This window comes from Homo sapiens, chromosome 3 (assembly GCF_000001405.40).
Source record: "Homo sapiens chromosome 3, GRCh38.p14 Primary Assembly".
Lineage (NCBI taxonomy): Eukaryota > Metazoa > Chordata > Mammalia > Primates > Hominidae > Homo > Homo sapiens.
This window is the reverse complement of record NC_000003.12, coordinates 116069806-116089645: the sequence shown is the minus strand read 5'-3', so window position 1 is coordinate 116089645 and position 19840 is coordinate 116069806. Positions and strand designations below refer to the sequence as shown.

Here is a 19840-nt window from a genome sequence, read left to right as displayed (position 1 = left end):
GTGGCTCACGCCTGTAATCCCAGCACTTTGGGAGACCGAGGTGGGCGGATCACGAGGTCAGGAGATTGAGACCATCCTGGCTAACACGCTGAAACCCCGTCTCTGCTAAAAATACAAAAAATTAGGCGGGCGTGGTGGCAGGCGCCTGTAGTGCCAGCTACTCGGGAGGCAGAGGCAGGAGAATGGCGTGAACCTGGGAGGCAGAGCTTGCAGTGAGCTGAGATTGCACCACTGCACTCTAGCCTGGGCGACGGAGCGAGACTCCATCTCAAAAACAAAACAAAACAAAAAAAAGTATATGTGTATTCTAATATACTATTCACTTGTTTGTCAGTAAAAGACGAATTTTAAAAATAAATACGGATAAAACCCAGATCAAAAACAAGGTGCTATGTAAATTGTCATAACAAAATTTCCACATAATACATTGTTTCATTAGATGCACTTTTATGCATCTGGCAATTTTGCTGAAATGGTCAATTACTTCTTTAGGTAAGATAGAGCTGAACACCCTCAAAGAATAATTTGGAATAATGATCCGTATGACTTTAACTTTTCCATGAATGAAATTTGCTAAAATGTCAAAGGACCATAAAGACCCGACTTATAAACTTTACCTTATATTGTTAAGGAAATCTGTCCAATTTATTTGTGGGTGCTATAGGACTTGGGATGGGGACGTGGAATATAGGTTACCAAATGTCCTGTATCTGCATGTGTGACCCAGTTAGTTCACAGGACAGGCATTTATCAAATGCCTGTTTTATCCTAGATTAGTTATTGGTGGTATCCAAATGAATAAGGTAAAAATTTGCTGTTTTTATTGGATTCACAGGCCATATTTAGGTAAGCTATATTACGTGGTATTTTTTCTTTTAAAGTGAAGAGATTGGAGCCATATTTGGTGCTAAGAGGCATTCAGAATACATCTATAATGTAGCAAATCTGACCATTCTTGTGTTACGCTGTGCAGGTGAGAAACATGCACAGGGAAAAATGATAGAAGATTTAAAACACATTTACACAGGTAAATTTCTATCCTTCTTACTAGAATAGAAAAAACATGGTAAATCTACATTCAACAATTTCATAATGGTCTAGAGTAAGACACCAAACATCCTATTAATTAATTCATCAATGATTTTAAATTCAGAGATGCGGCAAACATCACCAAGAACAGAGAAATGATGCCACAAGAGAGGAGAACAGCAAAAGTAAAACTGAGTCTGGAATGAGGCAGCAAGCATTCATGAAGTTAGCTTGGTGCTCATGATAAAAGGCCTCTAAATTATTAAACACATAAATTATACTCAATAATATATGCATGGCAGAGAAGCACATACTGGGAAATGGAGATGTTAAATGATACCTAAATCTAGTTATGTTTATGAAAACAAATAGGTAAAGAAGAAAAGTAAGACCTGTGTATCTTGGCACCCAACTTATTAAGTCAAATTCTTACTCTAGGGTCAGGCATGGTGGCTCATGACTATAATCCCAGTGCTTAGGGAGGCCAAGTTGGGAAGATCACTTGAGGCTAGCCTGGACAACACAGCAAGACCCCATCTCTAATTTTTTTTTTAAATTAGCTAGTCCTGGTGGCATGCACCTATCATCCTAGCTACTTAGGAGGCTGAGGCAGGAGGATTGCTTGAGCTCAGTAGTTTGAGGCTGCAGTGAGCTATGATCAGGCCACTGCTCCCCAGTCTTGGTGACCGAACAAGATCTGTCTCAAAAAAAAAAAAAAAAATCTCCCTCTAAATAACATATACAATTCGTTTAAAATTAATAGGATAAGGAGGTCTTTGTATTATACCATAAATGGAGTATTTAAAAAGACTTAGCTGTTATCTTTCTTGTAAGAGACACAGTTGGCCTTTATATTCCATGTGGGACAGCCTATGGGTTATGCATCAATTTTCTGTCTATGTTTAGTTGTTTTGACCTGAGATAAAAACTGGATTTTACTTGGCTTAGAAAATACAGGGGAACAGGGTGTCTTAATAGTCCTGCTGTGGTGCTCGTGGCTCTTTCTGTTCATTCCCTCCTGCTCCAGAGTGTTGAGCAGCTGGCTTTGCAGCTGTGAACAGGGTTTGGGACATCTCCCTATGGGGCAGACATAAATCTTGCCACAGGGATGCAGACAGAAGGTTTTTTTGTTTTTGTTTTCTGCTAGATTTTTCCATTGCAAGACTCTTGCTGGAACTGAAGGAGAAAACCATACTCACCAAAAAGTATTTACCCCTCCTTCACTAATGCATGTTCTTTGCCCCTTTCAAATTTCAGAAAGAGACCCTTTTAAGTTTTTTAAAGCAGTAATTCAATTAAGCGTTATTCCTTTACCCTTTTTGATCTATTGGTCTATAAACTACAAAATTGGCTTCTTCATCTTTGTTAAAGATTGCCTGCATTTAGTGTGACTAGAAATGCTGGTAGCAACCTAACTTGCCACCAAACAAGCTTCTGCCTTCAGCAGCTGGAACCAAACTTATGCCAGATGATGTTTGCTTTGATTTCCTTGTCATAACACCTATCCCCTTATGCTTGGATCTGCTCACACAATTTTTACTCCTGGAAGTGGCATCCCAAACTTGTAAAGATTAGAAGTAAACTCAGAAGTCTAGTCTAATTCCTATAATGGTGGAGTATAACTTTAATCTATCATTACACAATACTATAGGAAATACTTATAAAAGAGTAAACACAGTTCAAGATGGAGTAAAAGTGCTATGATATCAATTGTATAATTCTCAAAATTACTTAAACAGACGGAGTTCTGAGTGAGTGGCCTTTTCCTAAACAAGAAGAAGATAATGGGAAGTCAATACTAATTTAACTTTGCCTTCATTACTCATACTCAGATTGTTTATTGCTGAACTGAGTCTAATATAATGACATCCATCCACTGGATGGTAATTAGATCTTAAATGAAATAGTGAAAATTCTAAGGACTCCAAGAATGGCATGGCAATAATTCATTCTGCATATAATTATTTTCCTTGTTTAGACTTGTTGAGTCTGATCACCTAGAGAAGAAACGCAGAAATAGTTGTTGTTAAGGCACTAATATTGTTACTCTGCTCTGTCAGGTGCGTTGTAGAAGACAAGAACTCAAAGGTGGCCTGGTTGAACCGTTCTGGCATCATTTTTGCTGGACATGACAAGTGGTCTCTGGACCCACGGGTTGAGCTGGAGAAACGCCATTCTCTGGAATACAGCCTCCGAATCCAGAAGGTGGATGTCTATGATGAGGGTTCCTACACTTGCTCAGTTCAGACACAGCATGAGCCCAAGACCTCCCAAGTTTACTTGATCGTACAAGGTAAGGAAAGTGTGGGATAGAAGGGTGGTAAGAAAGAGGTGGGAGTTGCAGAATAATAATGTACAAAATATTTGCAGAATCCTTCCTGAAAAGAAATATTCCCAAAGATATTATTGGACTTAAGTATCGATTTTCTGTCTAAAAAGACACTTAAAATGAGAGGACCCAAAACAATATAGAGAGTGTACTCCTGTTACTGAGAGCCAGTAACATTGGTGAGAATGTTTTCACCTAGCCCTGAGTGTGAAAACACACGGCAAAAGCCACAGCTGTTGGAACAATGTAAATCAGGGATACCAGAACACACAGAATGCCTAGGGCCATATGAAGTACACTTTTCCACCCTGTTAGGTACCAGATGCTTTGCTGAGTTTAAGAAAGTTTGGGTTTATCTGTCCTCACCCTGAAGATTAGCACTAATTATCTTTTTTGTGATAGCAAAGTTCTTCTGAAAAAATAAAATTTTCCAGAGGACTTTTTATTTTTTCAGCTGTTCAGGTTTCTATGTAGTTTGTATCTCTACTTAATGACAAGTTACTGGTGATGAAATCCAGTGACAAAGATCTGCAAAGTAATTGGGGACAATTTGCTTCTAGATTGGGGGATCTAAGGGCACATCTGAGTCATCGTTTTACAGGATAAAAACCTTAAATGGCACTCACATACCCCCAAACTGTTGCTCAATTGGGTTTCTTTCGCCATAATTGCAGAATGAGAACAAAGCTGATCAGCTGCACAATTTTATTGCAAGTGAAGCCCAACCACCAGCAGTTTCAATGTATCTATCAGGAAAGATCTAAGCACTAACAAACATTAGGGCTGTGTTCATGTATTCTTGATTTATAATTCTATGTAAATTTAATGCAAATTAGGCATGGCCCTAGGGCTCCTGTCAAGGTTCCAATGCAGTCAGTGGTGTGGAAAAGTTTAACTGTAGCTTCTATTAATGTGTTATGGAATTGATTATTGTAGTGTTTAAATTATTGCTCTCCCAACTCCTCTGATTAATAGATTGAAACTGGAATAAAATACATCAGAGACTGCCTGGTGCAGGGGTGCTTTAGTCGTGTGGCCTCTATTTTGGTCCATTTGCAATGGCTGACAGCTTCATTTTATTGCTTGTAAAGGCATGTCTACTAGCTTGCAAAGTTCCAATCACAGTCAAAGCATAGGATGTTTTTCTTGTAGCTTAGTAGAGCGTACTTAAGCTCCATTACAAGAAAGACACCAGGGTATGGATCTTAGGCAACCTATTTAAATTTGTAAACATAACTAGAAATATGTAAATATGCCAATGGGTTAATTTACCAACTCCCTCAAAACAAATACAAGCACACATTTATTCACAAACACACACACACACACACATCAAAACATAAGAAAAAATTCTACTAAATTCAATGGCAGAAGGAGGAGAGATAACTAGTTTACTTAGGATCACTTAGAACAGATTTTACCTACTGACCAGTTATTCAGATTATCTCGTGATTTTTCTTCTTTGATTTCTGATGTAAGATTGTTTATTCATATATTTCTTTATAATGGGTTATGCTTGAAAAAAACTGATTGATTATATTGTGATATTTCTACACAATTTTAGTAGCTTTATGGACTTTGATGTCACTAAAAAGCCACTAGAGACCGTAACTAGAAATTGTGTATTATCCTATACTGAATAAATTTGACAATCTGAGCACTATATCCCTTGGTTTCTAGATGAGCAAATAGAAGTTCATTAAATTTAGGTTACTTGCTCAAAGTCACAAGACAGTTCAGGGAATAGTTGAGTGCCAAGCAGATCTGTAAATCTAAAGCACTTTCCACTGGAATGGAGTTTTTTGGTTTTTTTTGGTTTTTTTTTTTTTTTTGCCATGATTTTAAAGACTAATTTAAGGATTCATAGTTAAGAATTTATATTTAAGTCTGAGCTCTTAGCACCAAATGCCCAATGTTCCTCTTTTTTTTTTCTTATTTACCTTTGTACTCTTAAGCTACAAACATGACCATCTCACAAGGGTTAGAACTAAAATTATGTTAGATACTGCATGTACCTTCCTGACATGGCAGTGCAAATGAAATTAAATTTAACTTAAGGGATGGAGAAGTGCCAAGTCCTGTTTATCTACTATCTCATTTAATTCTAATAATATTACTTTTAGGTAGATGTTTCTCACTTTATTTTATATATATGCAAAAGCTTGAAGTTCAGAGACAGGAAGGAGTCTGCCAAAGGCTTTCTGTAGGCTTAGGACAGGGTTTCAAACCCATGTTTGTCTGATTCAGGATACTATTGTATTTGTTTTGACAGAAAAAAATCAACAACAAAGCTTGTACTTACAAGGGGGATAAAGAAAGCATGGTATCCTCCTTGAGCCTGAGTCGCCAAGGGGAATTTTTGGACAATTACGTACATATTAGATAATTTGATCTCAAGCACCAGATGGCTGAATCACTTCCCCTTGGGGCATTCAGCCTTGTGCCCCTCAGAGGTTCCATCCATTCACACTGTTCCCATTTATTTCTATTCCATTCTTCAGCTCTCTATTGTTTTCACCACATCAAAGATACTAACTCTAGGAATGGCTGACATCTCCCTTTTTCCTAACCTCACAGCACCTTTCTTTAGACTCTAAGACACTTTTGATTTTTTATGTCCTGCCATGATCATCCGCCATGGTTTCTGCAAATTCAGTTCAACTAATCATTATGTAAATACTGTATTCCTTTTCCTTACACAATGGTGAGGCCAACCTGAGCTCAAAGGTGCTATGAGATATCACCAAAGAATAGCAGTTTAGAAGGTGGGCTCTGCAGAGTTGCATTGCTTGATTCAAATCTGTTTTCATTCTTGCTGTTTAAATACACTTTGGGGGTAAACCACTTAATTTCTCTAAGGCTCAGTTTTGTCATATGAAAAATATACATAAAACTAATATTTTAAGTCCTCCTAAATTTATTGTAAGGATTAGATGATCTATGTAAACCTCTAGTCCAGTGTCTGGAGATCATGTTTTCTCACCCAGTAGGTTGATGATGATGTTGATAACAATGCTGTTGATGATGATGACAAATACCATGATGTTGCTGGTGCTCCAGTATTTCCATAAAACTCACTCCTGTCCTAAGGTGCTACCCAGAATCTAACAGACGCTTTCACTCGTTGCCTATTATCTTTGCAGTAGGCTCCTTCCGTTTTTATTTTGGGTCCCTCTAGCCCATTTTTTTCAGCTGTCCTTTTCCTTAACATCTAGTCTTCAGCTTTACTTCCTTAGGATTCTAGAGAGCTTCTTTTTTAAAAAAATTATTTTAGGTTTGGAGGTACATAGCTAAACACGTCAGAGGGGTTTGTTGTACATAGGGTTACATCACTCAGGTATTAAGCTTAGTACCCAGTAGTTATCTTTGCTTATCCTCTCTCTCCTCCCACCCTCCACCCTCAAATAAACCCCAGTGTCTGTTGTTTCCTTCTTTGTGTTCATAAGTTCTTATCATTTATCTCCCACTTATAAGTGAGAACCTGTGGTATTTGGTTTTCTGTTCCTGCATTAGTTTACTAGGGATGATAGCCTACAGCCCCACCTACGTTCCTGCAAAAGACATGATCTTGTTCTTTTTTATGGCTGCATAATATTTCATGGTGTATATATACCACATTTTCTTTATCCAGTCTGTCATTGATAGGCACTTAGGTTGATTCCATGTTTTTGCTATTCTGAACAGTGCCGCAACGAACATTTGCAGAATTCTACCATAGAGAGCTTCTTAAACTAGCATTTCTAGATGTGATTCTTGTATAGGCTGAAGCAAAGTCAACATTTTGGCTTACTATGCTTGTCAAAATGCAGATTCCAGAGAACCACATCCAGAACAATGGAATCAGAATTTATAAAAATGGGAACTAAACTTCTGAATCATTGTGCTCTGCAGGTGATTCAGATGCACACACACAAAAATCAAGAGCTACTACTCTAAGGATCTAAGCAATCAGAGAGGGATTTACTCTCCCTGCTTGTTCGTTTTCTTGTATGACATTGAATCAAATTATATATAAAACTCTACAGAGCAGGTACTAGAGCCTTATAATAGTAAATCATATAAAATATCTGTAGACTCATCAAAAACATAGATTAATCTCATGTGCTTGAGCCCTGGGAATACTGGCTCCAAAAACTAGGGTATTTGTTTTAAATGTTACATTAAAAACCTTCATGTGTGTATGAATACAAAGGAAATCCTCACATGACAACATTTTTAAAACGAGAATCTTATTTTTAAATATCCCATTCACCATATTTTACAACGCATCTTTTATCATATTTTCAATTTACGTACTGCCTAATTGTTAAGTTGGTACCAATAATAGAGTGGTCATTTTTATGTTGAATCTTTTGCTCCCATTTTTATGCTATTCTTATTTGGCTAATGTTGTTTTCAAAATGGCCTAATCTGCAAATACTAAAATTGGAGATAATTTTTTTTAACATTTTGAAGTTTTAAAATGTATTTCTAAATAAAGATTTAAATTTCACTATCGTACTAAATAGAATCCCATACATTTTTCTCAGCACTGTGATTCAAATCACACACATGGCTTGTCGGACTTTATCCATTAGTTGCCAGGATTGCATAATTATGTTATATAAAATAATATAATTGTGAAAAAATATGAGAGTGGGACTCCTTATAAGACCAACATGTTTGGTGTGTGTTTTTAAAATCTCCACATTTAAAAAGCCTCATTTCCTATATCTCATTAATCCTAGAATATATATAAATCTAAAATGGCTTAAAATTATAATGTCTCTAGATGCCCTTTAAATTTAATAATTGAAAACTTAAATATTAGGAAACCCAACCTCTTTTTTTTTTTTGAGACAGAGTCTTGCTCTGTCGCCAGGCTGGAGTGCAGTGGCACCGTCTTGGCTCACTGCAACCTCTGCTTCCCAGGTTCAAGCAATTCTCCTGCCTCAGCCTCCCAAGTAGCTGGGACTACAGGCGCGTGCCATCATGCCTGCCTAATTTTTAGTAGAGATGAGGTTTCATCATGTTGGCCAGGATGGTCTCCATCTCTTGACCTTGTGATCCACCCGCCTCAGCCTCCCAAAGTGCTGGGAATACAGGCATGAGCCACCTCGCCGGCCCCCAATTTACATTTTTAGTGATTAGTCTAGAGCTTATTGTTTCTAGGATTTAAATTTTTAGAAGCAAGTTTTGCAATTCTGTTAACCATTCCAAATGCTGACCAAAATCTGTTACCCAGAACTCCAAGACGGTATCTCATTTTTCTCTCAGAATCGCTCTCCTTTCCTTCTGTTACTTTCTTCTTTCTTCCTTCACTCCCATCCTTCTTCCTTCCCTTTCTTAATAAACTCATGTTGCATTGATTATTCTTTCAACAATTATACATTGCCTATAAAATTTTATTCAAAAGTTTAGCCTATAGCTCCTTTTTAAATTTTAAGGCATTCTAATAAAATAAGAATTGGAAGTTAGATTTGTTCTTAGTGTGAATTTTGTTGATTATTGAGAATCTTAGTGATTAACTGGAATTTTCTCATTTGAATTTTATATGCTGAAGTCTACTAATTTTTCTACTCTTCAGCTTAATTTTTCAGACAATAGCCTCTTGATTGGCTGTTAATAGGTCAGGTTCAGACTTGAAAGACTTCACTATTCACATCAGCAACCAGACAGCTAATGAAAGGGAAGAACTGAAACTTTTTAGTTAAGATGGTTAGCAATATTGCCTCATGCAGTTTTAACCTGATATTCTTCCCTGTAGAAAGGATTTCAAGTTTTATCTAAACCAATCCCATCCAAGCATAATTAATTACTATCTCCAAACCCTTTTTATATACCTGTAGTCCATCTTTTAGTTATTAAATTATATAACCTATATACATCCACATACTTTCTAATCTAAACTGCTTTTGTCCTTCCTTCTTCAAAGGAGAGAAAATAAGGGAAAAGAGAAAAAGTTATCTTAGTACCAATAGTGGCACAAGAGTTGGCTCAGTATGAAAATATAGACTTCATGAAAGAAAAAGAAAGTTACTTGAAGACAGAGATTAACTAATATTCACCTATACTTAAATCTTGAATCATTGAATCTATGAAGATTTTAATGCCTTATGGGGAGAATTTTGAGAGTTATTAGGAAGATGTGGAGGTAGAGATTTATTTCTTATTGTATCTGCCTCTGCTAAATATTGTAACTACATCCGGTCTATGGCAAGTTATTTTTACTTGGATTTACGCAATATCATATGTGGCTATTCACACATGATCTGGTTGTTACACAGATATTTAATCTTAGGTATTAAAATAAGGATATCTACCCTTTCAAATATGTTTAAATAGTACCATAAGCCACTATAAATTATCATTAACTGTAGCATTTGTGTTTTCTACACATTACCTTAAAAATGTACTCTTAAAAATATTAAAGGCAATTTTTTGAATTTATGTATTTAAAAAGTCAAGAAAGATGGCATATATATATTTAATATATAGTTATTTCTATTGTTTTCAGTTTGCTACAAATAGGCAACTTTTTTTTTGACAAAACTCTTCTGTATGACATGGGTTGTCTTTATAATGTTTCCAGTCCTAGGTCTGCCTGAGTGAAAAACAATTTAAGTATACAAAATACAATAAGGCTTCTTTCATTCTTTTTTTTTTTTTTTTTTTTTGAGACAGAGTCTCACTCTGCTGCCCAGGCTGGAGCGCAGTGGCCTGATTCTCCAGGGTTCCAGTGATTCTCCTGCCTCAGCCTCCCGAGTAGCTGGGACTACAGGCGTGCGCCACCATGCCCAGCTAATTTTCGTATTTTTAGTAGAGACAGGGGTTTCACTATGTTTGCCAGTGACCAACTACTGACCTCGTGATCTGCCTGCCTCGGCCTCCCATTGTGCTGGGATTACAGGCGTAAGCCACCGCACTTAGCCAGCTTCTTTCATTCTTATTAGTTAAAAAGCTATTAGACAGGCTGAAGTGTTGTGGAAGAGCAGCCCAATCTGTACCAAGGCCTGAAGAAGAAAGGATTCTGAGTGAGGAGGCATCTCCGAAGGGCCAGGCCCACCCAAGAGAGCAGCTGAAGGGAAAAACATCTGGGAAAGTTGGGACCTTGGCTACATTGAAGAGAATTGAGGAAGTAAATAAAAATATTGCGGATAATGATAAAAAGTTTCTTATTGTTGGAGAAGATAGTATAAATGTGGACAGGGAGAAAGCTAAAATGAACCTTGTGATGTTGGATGAAATTGAAGTTATTAATGATTATTAATAAGTTTTAATAGAAGAGAGAGAGAATTGTGTACATATATTTCCTAACCCTGCCCTTCCCCACTAAGAGGCCCTGGAGCACAGACACCCCAGTAGCAATTCATATACCTAATACTTAGCATCTTCATGTTGGTTTTAAAATATAACTATTCACTAAAAGGAAGGGTTACTTGGAGAAACAGCTGGTACCAGGACTGGGGCAAGGAAGGAACAATATAACTTGGAGCATCTCTTGGGCCAGGAAGTAAGAATGTACTCAAAAAAATGACGAGTCATGCCAAAAGTACACGGAAGCCAGCTTGAGAGAGACTTTCACGAGCCAAGTATAGGACAATTTGGGTATTGAAAGAAATAATTACAATATATTACAATTCTGATATAAATTAGGCACTATTTATTAAGTAAAGAGGATAGGGCCGGGTGCAGTGGCTCACGCCTGTAATCCCAGCACTCTGGGAGGCCGAGGCGGGTGGATCACAAGGTCAGGAGATCAAGACCATCCTGGCTAACACGGTGAAACCCCATCTCTACTAAAAATACAAAAAACTTAGCTGGGTGTTGGTGGCGGGCACCTGTAGTCCCAGCTACTCGGGAGGCTGAGGCAGGATAATGGAGTGAACCCGGGAGGCGGAGCTTGCAGTGAGCCCAGATCAGGCCACTGCGCTCCAGCCTGGGCAACAGAGCGAGACTCCTTCTCAAAAAAAATAAATAAATAAAATAAAATAAAATAAAGTAAAATAAATAAATAAATAAATAAATAAAGAGGATATAAAGCCCTTTTGTATTATAGAATGCTAACTAATAGAAGGAATGATGGAATTTTAAAAATATTATTTGGCAACCATCACAGAAATAATTAATTCCAGCAAGAAATATCAATGGATACTAAAACTTGCAAGTGGAAATGAAATAAGGAATAATGTTAAAGTAGCTGCCCACAAATATTTGTTAAATACGAAGAGAGAAAAGACTAATTAAAAAAGTAGTACAACCTAACTGACACAATATTAATCAAGTGATCAAAGTTAACACTACTAGTAACGGGACAAATTGGCATCATTTGCCAAAAGATAAGAGGCAATGAGCTAAACACACATCACTTCTGTGAAATATTTCCTAGAACCTGAGTCTAATAATAGGACGACATTGGGCACACACAAATTAAAGGACATTCTATAGAAAGACTGGCCTCTAATCTTCATAAATGTCTAGGTTATAAAAGTCAAGAGAGACTGAAGAACTGCCCAAGAGTGAAGGAGATAAGAGAGAAATGACAACTGGGTATACTATGTGACCTTTTTCTAGACAAGGCATGACGCAGCAATTGACAAAACTTAAGTAGAGTCTGGGTGAAGGATACATGGGAACTATTTGTATTATTCTTATAACTTTTCATTAAACTTGAAATTATTTCAAAGTGAAAGTGAAATACAATAATACTGAAGGCAATAATACTTAAGGCAGATATTAAGATTAAAACCTGTGAATAAAGTAAAAAATTATATTAAATATTAAATACAGCATAATTAAGCAGGTTTTTTCAAGCATAATCCATTATAAAGAAATGTATGAATAAAATATACTTCATTACAAAGTCAACAGACAAAAATCATGAGATAATCCCATGAGGAACAAAATACATAGGATATAGTTTAACTTCTATTCTTGATGTATTTAAAATACTCTGGAATTTAGTGAGCTAAGTATAGATGATTTATTTCTTAACATGAAAAAGATGGGTAATTAAAGTCAGGACTAATGCAAGCATACCAACAATCATTATTATTACGTAACATTAGTTTAGGGGCTATAGTCAATGCAATGAAACAAGATAATAAAATACAATGGTTTAAATATGGGAAAGGAGGAAATAAATTTATCAATATTTCCAGCTAATATGATTAACTAGAAAAACACTTATAAATTAATAAGCAAATATATTAACAATATTTAACAATACAAATATATTAACAATACTAACAAATATATTAATTTGTATTAATATACAGTATATTAAGAATACTAACAATAGTTTGGTAACTTGTGCATTTATCTGAAGAAATATATTAAATCAATAGTTTCTATATATAGTTATAACAAACACATAAAATATACTAAAAATGGTCATTCACAAAGCTGCAAAAATATAAGAACATTTAAGAATAAATTAAATAAACAATGGAGAGAACATAAATGCAAAAATTGAAAGGATGAAAGAACTGGCTTTTTTGTTTGTTTGCTTGTTTGGGTATTTTTTGCTGTTGTTTTACAATAGAACGAAATAATTCTTGAATGGCAACACAAATATCATTAAAGATGTAAAGATGTTTAAAATGAAAATATAATGATCCCCAAGGTAAATTGAATTTTTTATGTATCTAAAAATTACTTTGGAGCTTTTGAAACTGAAATTACACCAAATTTATCAAATTAATTATGAAGAATGGACAGGCATAAATAACCAACTTTAAAAAATAATTATTGGCCGGGTGTGGTGGCTCATGCCTGTAATCCCAGCACTTTGGGAGGCTGAGGTGGGCAGATCATGAGGTCATGAGATTGAGACCATCCTGGCTAACACAGTGAAACCCCATCTCTACTAAAAATACAAAAAATTAGCTGGGCGTGGTGGCGGGCTCCTATAGTCCCAGCTACTCGGGAGGCTGAGGCAGGAGAATGGTGTGAACCCGGGAGGTGGAGGTTGCAGTGAGCCAAGACCGCGCCACTGCACTCCAGCCTGGGTGACAGAGCGAGACTCCGTCTCAAATTAAAAAAAAAAAAGTTATTATTTTATTGGGAAGAAAGACTTCTACAGCTAGAAAACTACATCTGCAAAACATATTTAAAAACCATCAAGTCAGTGGATCTAAATGAAAGGCTCAAAAGTCTACCACATATGGTCATGTCACATATGATGCAGGTTTAACATAACGGAGAAAGTGTCATTATTCAACAAATGGTTTTGAATGAATTAATTTTTTAAAAAATTGTATTTTTACTAAACAGCCATGTATGAAAATTAACACCAGATCTCTTAAAGATTTAAAAGTAAAAAGTAAAGAAAAAGACTAGAAAGAATTATCAATAAATGTCTCTCCAATGGAGTGTGGAAGGCTGTCTTAGCATAAAAGTAAATGAAAGGTATAGAAAACAAATTTGGCTAAACATATGTAAATATATAAAATTAAAAGACTCTAGAGGCTGGACACGGTGGCTCACACTTGTAATCCCAACACTTTGGGAGGCTGAGGTGAGCGGATCACCTGAGGTCAGGAGTTCGAGACCAGCCTGGCCAACATGGTGAAACCCCATCTCTACTAAAAATACAAAAATTAGCCGGGTGTGGTGGCGTGGGCCTGTAGTCCCAGCTACTTGGGAAGCTGAGGCAGGAGATCACTTGAACCCAGAAAGCGGAGGTTGCAGTGAGCCGAGATTGTGCCACTGCACTCCAGCCTGGGTGACAGAGCGAGACTCCATCTAAAAAAAAAAAAAAACGATAAAGTGATTTAAAAACAAAATAAAAAAGCAGATAAAGCTTTAATGCCATTGGCATATGAATAGATTACAACAGATTAATGAAGACAATTTTTAAGAAATGAAAAAAGGCCAGGTGCTGTGGCTCACGCCTGTAATCCCAGCACTTTGGGAGGCTGAGGCGGGCGGATCACGAGGTCAGGAAATCAAGACCAGCCTGGCCAACATAGTGAAACCCTGTCTCTACTAAAAATACAAGAAATTAGCCAAGAGTGGTGGCACGTGCCTGTAGTCCCAGCTACTTGGGAGGCTGACGCAAGAGAATTGCTTGAACCCTAGAGGTGGAGGTTGCAGTGAGCTGAGATTGGCCACTGCACTCCAGCCTGGGCAACAGAGCAAGACTCTCTCTCAAAAAAAAAAAAAAAAATGGCTGGGTGCAGTGACTCATACCTGTAATCCCAGCACTTTGAGAGGCCAAGATGGGCAGATCACCAGAGGTCGGGATTTCAAGACCAGCTTGACCAACATGGAGAAACCCCATGTCTCTATTAAAAATACAAAATTTGCCAGAGGTGGTGGCACATGTCTGTAATTCCAGCTACTCGGGAGGCTGAGAATCACTTGAACCCGGGTGGCGGAGGTTGCGGTGAGCCGAGATCGCACCATTGCACTCCAGCCTGGGCAACAAGAGTGAAACTCATCTCAAAAAAAAAAAAAAAAAGAATAAAGAAAATATGACTAAACTTTGTCAAAGACATAAATTGCCAATTTACAAAAGGACACATGGAAATGGCAAACATGGAAAATTATTAAAACCTCACTAATAATCAAGGAAATGCAAAGTAAAACAGCAATAAATTGTTAATTTTAAAACTAGTGATACTAGGAAAGGGTTAACAAAATGAGGATAGCCAGAGTTGACAAGTTAGTAGGAAAACTGACACTTTTATATCTCCCTGTTGAGAGTGTAAATTAATGGAAACTTTCCCTGGGGTAATGTAGGGATATCTATCAAAGTTTTAAAATATATTTGTATCATTTGACTCAGTAATTCCATTTCTGTGTGTATAGAAATAAAACAATCTGAAATACAAATGGTTTTGGGCAAAGTGGTCATTACAGAATTATTTTTTTAAAAAAATTATGGAAAGTGTCATAAATATTCAGACTAAGGAATTGGATAGTTAAGTTAAGGTCATTTCATGAGAAATACTATTATAATGAACATTATAGTGGCTGCCCAGCATTCAAACCTCTTCCCTGTTTTGGGGGATTTTCCTCCTTGTCAATATGGTTGGGAGGCAGACATTACCACCCAGTATAAATGCTGAAATAAAATCCAGGCATCCTCAAAACTGAGGCTTCAGCATGAGATCCAGGCTTTAAGATTCCAGTGCACCTACCTTAGAATTAGAATTTTTAATAGATATTGTTGATACAAGGAACTCAAAACCAAGGAGAATCTATTCAGGTAATTGGTGGCACTTGTACCAGTGAGCTTATATGGAAGTGGTTGTATCATTGATGTTTCAGTAAGGCCTGGATCCAGGGCCACGTTGTTGGTGGTGAGAGCTATGGCATTCTTGTTCAGATTCAACAGCAGTCATGCCCTTTTTATATGATTTTTGGCATAATTCTTATTTTAGAGTCTTCCCAGTGATGTGGGTTGCAATGATTTCCTTTTCTACATAAGACAGCCAAATCTTATTTTTTCTATTTTTTCCAAATAAAAACACTGAGTTATACAACTAAGCATACATTAACTATCATGTTTTATGAAACATTTTAATAAATGATGAAAAATATTTGCAATATATGGTTAAATGAAGTAGTAGCATGGTCTCAGTCCAAAAGCTTCTTAAGCTGATTAGCAACTTCAGTAAAGTCTCAGGATACAAAATTGATATGCAAAAGTCACTAGCATTCCAACAAGGGAAGTGAAGGACCTCTTCAAGGAGAACTACAAAACACTGCTCAAGGAAATCAGAGAGGACACAAACAAATGGAAAAGTATTCCATGTTCGTGGATAGAATCAATATTGTGAAAATGGCCACACTGCCCAAAGTAATTTATAGATTAAATGCTATTCCCGTTAAACTATCATTGACATTCTTCACAGAATTAGAAAAAAACTATTTTAAAATTCATATGGAACCAAAAAAAGAGCCCAAATAGCCAAGACAATCCTAAGCAAAAAGGATAAAGCTGGAGGCATCACACCATCCAACCTATCCAACTTCAAACTATAGTACAAAGCCACAGTAACAACAACAGCACGGTAATGGTACAAAAACAGACACATAGACCAATGGAACAGAAAAAGAACTCGGAAATAGGACCACACACCTACAACCATCTGATCTTTGACAAACCTGACAAAAACAAGCAATGGAGAAAGGATTCCCTATTTAATAAATCGTTCTAGGAGAACTGGTTAGCCATATGCAGAAAATTGAAATTGGACCACTTCCTTAAAGTTTATAAAAAAATTAACTCAGGATGGATTGAAGACTAAAATGTGAAACCCACAATTATGAAAACTCTAGAAGAAAAGCAAGGCAATACCATTTCAGGACATAGGCAGAAGCAAAGATTTTATGATGAAAATGCCAAAAGCAATTGCAACAAGAGCAAGCATTGACAAATAGGATCTAATTAAACTAAAGTGCTTCTGCACAGAAAAAGAAACTATCATCAGAGTAAACAGACAATCTACAGAATGGGATGAAAATCTTGCAATCTATCCATTTGACAAAGGTCTAATATTCAGAGTCTACAAGGAACTTAATTTTACAAAAAAAAAAAAAAAAAACCACAAACAACCCCTTCAAAAAGTAAGCAAATAGCAATAACAGATACTTCTCAAAAGAAAACATTTATGCAGTCAACAAACATGAAAAAAAAGCTCAATATTGCTGATCATTAGATAAATACAAATCAAAACCACAATGAAATACCGTCTCACACCAGTCAAAATGGCAATTATTAAGGTTAAGAAACTTAACAGATGCTAGGGAGGTTGTAGAGGAAAAGGAAAACTTTTACACTGTTGGGGTGAGTATAAATCAGTCCAATCACTGTGAAAGTGTGGCAATTCCTCAAAGATCTAGAAGCAGAAATATCATTCGACCCAGCAATCTCATTACTGGGTATATACCTGAAGGAATATAAATCATTCTATTATAAAGATACATGCACTCATATGTTCATTGCAAGACTATTCACAATAGGAAAGACATAGAATCAACCCAAATGCCCATCAGTGATAGACTGGATAAAGAAAATATGCTGGCGGGGCGCGGTGGCTCACGCCTGTAATCCCAGCACTTTGGGAGGCCGAGGTGGGTGGATCACAAGGTCAAGAGATCGAGACCATCCTGGCTAACACGGTGAAACCCCATCTCTACTGAAAATACAAAAAATTAGCTGGGCGTGGTGGCAGGTGCCTGTAGTCCCAGCTACTCAGGAGGCTGAGGAAGGAGAATGGCATGAACCCGGGAGGCAGAGCTTGCAGTGAGCCGAGATCGCACCACTGCACTCCAGCCTGGGTGACAGAGCAAGACTCCATCTCAAAAAAAAAAAAAAAAAAAGCTACATATACACCATGGAATACTATGCAGCCACAAAAAGGAATGAGATCATGTCTTTTGCAGGGATATGAATGGACCTGGAAGCTGTTATCCTCAGCAAACTAATGCAGTAACAGAAAACCATACACTGCATGTTCTCACTTGTAAGTGGGAGCTGAATGATGAAAACATATGGACACTTGAGGGGGAACAACACACACTGGGGCCTGTTAGTTGGGGTCAGGGAGAAGGAGAGCATCAGAAAGAATAGCTAATGGATGCTGAGCTTAATACCTTGGTGATGGGTTGATCTGTGCAGCAAATCACCATGGCACTCGTTTACCTATGTAACAAAACTGCACATCCTGCCAGTGTACCCTAGAACTTAAAATAAAAGTTGAAGAAAAAAATGAAGTGGTAGTTTACAAAACAGTGAAATATGTAACCTCAATTTTATCAACAATGGTCAATATATCATATGTACTCATACCTCCACTGGAAAAAAAGAATAAAATATAACAAAATATTTTTTACAGTTTTTTGGGGAGAAGGGTGTTGGCTTTACAGGTAGAAATTTATATTATTTAGTTTATAAACTTGTGTGTGTTTGTGTGTTGTACCTGAAGAACAGCTCAAGAAGAATTGTTAAAAAAAAAAAAACCCTCATGATTATTAAGAGGATAACCTTTCAGAAAACTTTTCAGAGAGTGAAAGTTGTTGTGATGCCCTTTTCCCCCTTTTATATTTCTTTTTATTTTTTCTTCTTTAGCCCTCCATCATTTCTTCACCTGAGTGTTCATACTCTTCTTTTTTTTCTTTATGCAAACTCACAAAATCATCTATGCTAGAGTGATTAGGCCCCAAGTTTTTAAGTTATTACACCTCATGTAGGTACATTATTTTATTTATTTATTTATTTATTTATTTATTTATTTATTTATTATTTATTTATTTTGAGATGGAGTTTCATTCTTGTTGCCCAGGCTGGAGTGCAATGGTGCAATCTCGGCTCACTGCAACCTCCACCTCCAGGGTTCAAGCGATTCTCCTGCCTCAGCCTCCCTAGTAGCTGGGATTACAGGCGTGTGACACCACGCCCAGCTAATTTTGTATTTTTAGTAGAGATGGGGTTTCTCCATGTTGGTCAAGCTGGTCTCGAACTCCCCACCTCAGGTGATCCGCCCACCTTGGCCTCCCAAAGTTTTGGGATTACAGGCATGAGCCACCGTGCCCGGCAGGTACATTATTTTTAAAAGAGATATCATAAAGATAATGCTGCCTGCACAGTCACACACAAGTCTCAGGGAGGAGGAACAAAGGCAAAGATTTTGTGTGGGTAGGACCTTGTCAATCTCCTCAACTCAAGTAAAATTGCAGAATAAACAATTTCCTGCATAAAATTTCTAATTTAAATTTTAAAAAAGAACACTTAAATCAGGACCTCCTGGATGCTCCTTTAACCATTTACTGACATAATTTGCCTGTCTAGCCAAGCTAGAGCTTATAGTCTGACATTTCAGTGTCCACTTTACTGGTATCCAGAATTCTTATTCGATCTTATCTTGTTTTGATCTCTTCTGTCTCTAACCACGAGCAACTCTAATAATTCTCTTTTCCCCTTTATTTAAAGGGTGTTAAATATTCCTAGAAAATTGGATATAATAACATTTTGCTGTGTACCCTATAAAGTCCTGCTAATCTCAGTTGAGTAAGCTTTCAGTAAGTCTCTCCACTCATCACTTGCTAATTTTTAACTCAGTTGCCTATCTTATTGTGTTCCATATCCTCTACTTTAGCCTCCCAGTGTCCCTCCCTTTTTAAAGAGCCAGCCTTCTTATGTCATTCTCTTTGACCTCTATTTAAGCACACTATGAATAATTCCCTTTTTTTGCAATTCCTTTTCTCTTTATTTCCTGAAATAATGCAATATTCTCATGTTCCTTCCATTTCACAGATTGTGTCAACTTGATCTCCTTTAGTTGTGTGATCTTCATATTCCTATATGTTTCATCAGAGCTGTCCTTGCTTTGCTGTCCTTGCTTCTCCTTCCCTTTCCGATTTTGTCCATTGATGACTTCATCTTTAATGGTAACATCTATATAGTTTGATTCCAAGTCTTCATTGCCAGCGTTTCCCTTTATTTTTCTGAATTCTAGCCCAGAAATACCTTATAAGCATTTCTGTCTATCT

The 19840-nt window shown here is 36.8% G+C and overlaps 1 protein-coding gene across 4 annotated transcripts in view; it reads left to right on the top strand.

Annotated features, from left to right (window-relative positions):
• LSAMP (limbic system associated membrane protein) overlaps positions 1 to 19840 on the top strand; it is a 643114-nt gene that overhangs the window by 355842 nt on the left and 267432 nt on the right. For all 4 annotated transcript variants that reach the window (NM_002338.5, XM_017006383.3, NM_001318915.2 and 1 more), the window contains exon 2: positions 3090 to 3322. In NM_002338.5, the coding sequence (NP_002329.2) occupies positions 3090 to 3322 (233 nt within the window). The remainder of the gene's footprint in view (positions 1 to 3089; positions 3323 to 19840) is intronic.